Source organism: Homo sapiens, chromosome 5 (assembly GCF_000001405.40).
Source record: "Homo sapiens chromosome 5, GRCh38.p14 Primary Assembly".
NCBI lineage: Eukaryota > Metazoa > Chordata > Mammalia > Primates > Hominidae > Homo > Homo sapiens.
Window position 1 is genome coordinate 74,263,676 of NC_000005.10, and position 4,360 is coordinate 74,268,035.

General features: G+C 41.7%; 1 annotated feature.

Annotated features, from left to right (window-relative positions):
• Nucleotides 2,959-3,461: an enhancer, noted in NCBI's record as "NANOG hESC enhancer chr5:73562459-73562961 (GRCh37/hg19 assembly coordinates)". NCBI's record gives its function as "activates a minimal SCP1, AML or CMV promoter by ChIP-STARR-seq in naive H9 embryonic stem cells {active_cell/tissue: H9 hESC(naive)}" and the evidence as "EXISTENCE:reporter gene assay evidence [ECO:0000049][PMID:30033119]".

A 4,360-nucleotide genomic window follows, 5' to 3' on the forward strand; every position in this document is an offset into this window, starting at 1 on the left:
GTGCCCCCCAGGCCCCCTCCACGACTCAAGCATTTATTCCCCTACTAGGAGTGTTGGCTACTAGCTGCTCTTAGCCTAGTCTCACTCGAAGACTTCCCTGGGTAAAGAGAGCCTTACCCAGGGTCCTGCACCATTCCTCAAGGTGTCTCACATCCAGTGACCAGTTGATCGTAAACGACTGGGATGTAAAGGCTGTTTGTGTGTGTGTGTGTGTGTGTGTGTGTGTGTGTGTGTGTTTAAAGACAAGGTCTCACTTCACTCTGTTGCCCAGGCTGGAGTGCAGTGGTATGATCATTGCAGCCTCAACCTCCTGGGCTCAAGTGATACTCCCACTTTGGCCTCCCAAAACACTGGGATTATAGGTGTGAGTCATCATGCCCAGCTGCCATCATCATTAGAAAGCTCCCCTTTAGGTTAGCTGAGGCCCTGGTTGTGACTTCATCACAGTTCACCTTTTCCTTCTGACCTTCACAGCATCCTTCATTCACTCTCATGGGCTGACCCTCAGGTCACACCCCAATTGACTTACTGCACACAAATCTCTGCTTCCTGGGGAATCTAAGATGTGATACCACAGACTAACTGCTAACATAGATTGCTTCACATGACTTTGAACTTTATAATAAATTACACAGTGTGTGCTTTTATGTGCCTGGTTTCTTTTGTTTAACATTCTGTGAGATTCATACATGTTGTACATAACAGTAGTTTGCTCTTTATTGTAGTATCATTTATGATATTCTTTAAATAAATGTGCCACAGCATAGTTATAATTTTTCTGTTTATGGCCTTTTAAGTATTTTCTAATTTTTGGTTATTATGAATAATACTGCAATAAACATTTGTGTACCTATCTTTTGGTGCTTATAAATAAGAATTTCTGTTGGGCATATGCCTAGAGGTATAATCGTGTTATATAAGGTATATTTATGTTCGGATGTAGTGAATATTGCTGAGGAGTATTCAAATTATCTTACCACTTTATACTCCAATTAGAAGAGCATGAGACTTCCCATTGGATTTGCTATCTGGCCCTTTATAGAAAAGGTTGGCCAATCCCTGAACTAAGCCAAAGAATGAGAGGAGCACAAGTATTAAGGCAGAAAAACACCTGATATATCTTCAAGCAAGGGTAAGAACACCAGTTTGTTTAGGTAGATAAGACTAGGTAGAAATACAGTTTGGATCAGAGATCAGCAAACTTTTTCTATAAAGGGCCAGATTGTGAATTTAGGCTTTGCAGGCCTTATGGTCTCTGTTGCAACATTCAACTCTGCCATTGTAGCTCAAAAGCAGTCACAAAAAATAAGCAAAAAAATGAGAGTGGGTATATCCCAATAAACCTTAATTAAGGACACTAAAATTTGTATTTTATATCATTTTAATGTTGTCACAAAGTATTACTCTTCTTTTGATTTTGTCCAACCATTAAAAATTTATAAGGAACATTCTTATCTTGTGGGGTAAACACAAACGGGCAGTGGGCTGGGCTCGGCCCATGGGCCATAGTTTGCTGACCCTTTTCGTAGATGGTGGAGGTCTAAATAATCTCAACTTATTTGATAAACAAAACATTTAGCATTCTGGGGGGAATGGTATGATGTATACAAAGCAGTGTTTCAGGGACTCTGAGCTGATTGCGGTATTTAGGATGAATTGGGGAGGGAGAGATTGGAGGTTGGATGACCAGTTAGGGGGCAGCATGGGTAGACCTAGTAAGGGTTGGTAAGGATCTGTCACCTGGTGATGACAGAGAGAGTGTGGTGAAAGAGATGGGGCATATGCAAGAGGATATTAGGAAGAGGTAAGAAAAAGATTTGGTGACTGGTGAGAGAGAAAGAAAGAAGACTCGGTGCCTAGCGCCAGGATTTTCAGCATGGGAGACAGGGTGAAGAGTTTGATGATAAAATGGTTGAGAGACATTAGAGATCAATATTTAGGGCATGGGTACTGGAGCCAAAAGGCCTGAATCTAAAGCCTGGCTTCCTGTTTTACAAACTGTAATCTCTCTGTTTCCTCCTCTGCAAAATGGGATTAATAATAGCATCTATTTCATGAAGTTATTATAATTCATACAAAATGCTTAGAACAGTGCCTGGCACATAGCATGCGCACTGCAGGTGCTAGCTTTTATTGTTAATTGTATAGTGTCTTTTTAAAAATAACAAAATAGGGCTGGACACAGTGGTTCACACCTGTAATCCCAGCACTTTGGACAGCCGAGGCGGGATGATCACTTGGGACCAGGACTTCAAGACCAGCATGGGCAACGTGGCAAAACCCTGTCTCTACAAAAAATTAAAAAATAAAATACATTAGCTGGGCATGGCAGTGTGTGCCTATAGTCCTAGCCACTCAGGAGGCTGAGGTGGGAAGAGCACTTGAGCCTGGGAATTTGAGGCTGTAGCGAGCCTTGGCTGCATACCTGTACTCCAGCCTGGGTGACAGAGTGAGCCTCTACCTCAAAAATATATATATAATCTTTAAAATAATATAATAAAGTAAAAATGTTAAAGATAGAAAGCAAGTTTAAGGGAAAAAATGTTATCTGGCTTTAAATGGTTTTCAGCTGACCCTGGGCAGCAAACAGAACACTAAGAATAAACGCTCTGAAAGGCGGAAGTCCTAGCATTGTGAGTGTGTGTTCCCATAGTGAGCAACTTCATTTCATAGGAGTGGAAAAGAAGGCCAGAAGGTCAAAGATTAAAGTATAAAAGCACACATTGTGGTCAAGAGCTCAGACTCTAGTGAAATCTCTTCTGTCTCTCTTAGTAGCTATGAACCCTTGGGAAGGTGAGTTACTTAAGCTCTCTATACCTTAGTTCTGCCATCTGTAAAATGGTGTAACCATAGTACTTACTATATGGAGTAGCTGTCATGGTTTAAAAAGTAAAGGTGAGGCCCAAACAGAGCCTATCACAAAATGAGTCTTCCATAAATGTGTATCCTTTGTTATTCTTGTGACTACCTTTAAGGAAACTAGAGACTAGGGAAGCCCCAGGAAAAGAAGGCCTCAAAGGCACAAAGGAATTTGCCCGGTGAGATTGTCCTTGAGGACTTCTCTGTCTCTATCTCTGCTACACTGCATCAGGGTTAGGAAGAATGATGTTCTGAGAACTTGATCAACTCCTTTAGGATCAATGGGCAAAATCCCAAACTTTTCGTTTAAATGGAGTTGACCTAAATCTGCTGAATGACAATGTCTTTAGGATCAGCCCCTGGAGCTTTTCAAGTGGCATTGATTGGGCTGCCTGGAAAATCCTCTGACCTAGAGAAATCTCCTCCTTAGTGAAGCTGACATAAAACCCCCAGATTGCTCCTTTTCCGTTCAGGAGGAAGAGGGGCAGCTCATCATCGCGAAAGCAGCAGCTCAGACTCTGGCTCTCGCATTTAGCTCTGTATCACATCCATCAGGATCCCACACTACAAAGTTGCTCATTTTCTAATCCACAGTGACTGTGGGTTATTTCTTCTTAAGCTTCTTAATTTGCTGCTTAGAAAATTACTTTGGGTGAAAGCAATTAGTGTTATACATTTTTGAGGAGAAAATTGCAGGCTAGCCCACTCTGACTGCATGGGTCAGGGATTTCCTCTGCGTCTCATTTGATCCTTCTTTCTTTTGTTCATAGCTCTGATTCAAACAATCTGGCTCCTTAAAACTCTGAGATGGTAACCTGGTGCCGTGTTTAAAACTTATGGAAGCAACACTTGGCAAAGGAGAAGAGCTTGGGTGTGAGGAATATAGGTGACAAATAGGATTGGCTTCAATAAGATTTTCCCAGCCAGGTGCAGAGGCTCACATCTGTAATCCCAGCACTTGGGGAGGCTGAGGCATGAGGATTGCTTGAGGCCAGGAGTTTGAGACCAGCCAGGCAACATAGTGAGACACGGCCTTTTATATATATATATAAGATAAAATGTTTAAATAAAAAATTTAAAAAGGAAGGTTTTCTCTTTTCTTATTAATTGGTAAACACTGTATGGGTTTTTGTGTGTGTGTGTGTGTATGTGGTGTGGGGCAGGAGGCTGAATAGGGAGTAGGGAGTAGAGACTGACTTAGAAAACTTTCTTTTAAAATTTTCCTAGTGATCACAGACTCTCTAATGTCATCTTGATCATTTCTGGAAAAGTCATTGTAGAAATCTCTGCTAGGCCAGTCAAATAAAAATTACTGATGGGAAAGAAAGTCAAAAGGGCATAGCGCAAGCTGGAAAAATCAGTCTTAGAAAGAGACAAGCAAGAAGGAGTCTAGAGCCTATAGGGGCCTTTAGCTTTGGCTTCTCCACTTGTGGAGGTAACAGAACTAGCCAGAGGCTGACTCGGTCTCTCCTGTCTGATCGCAGGCCTGACTACACTGACG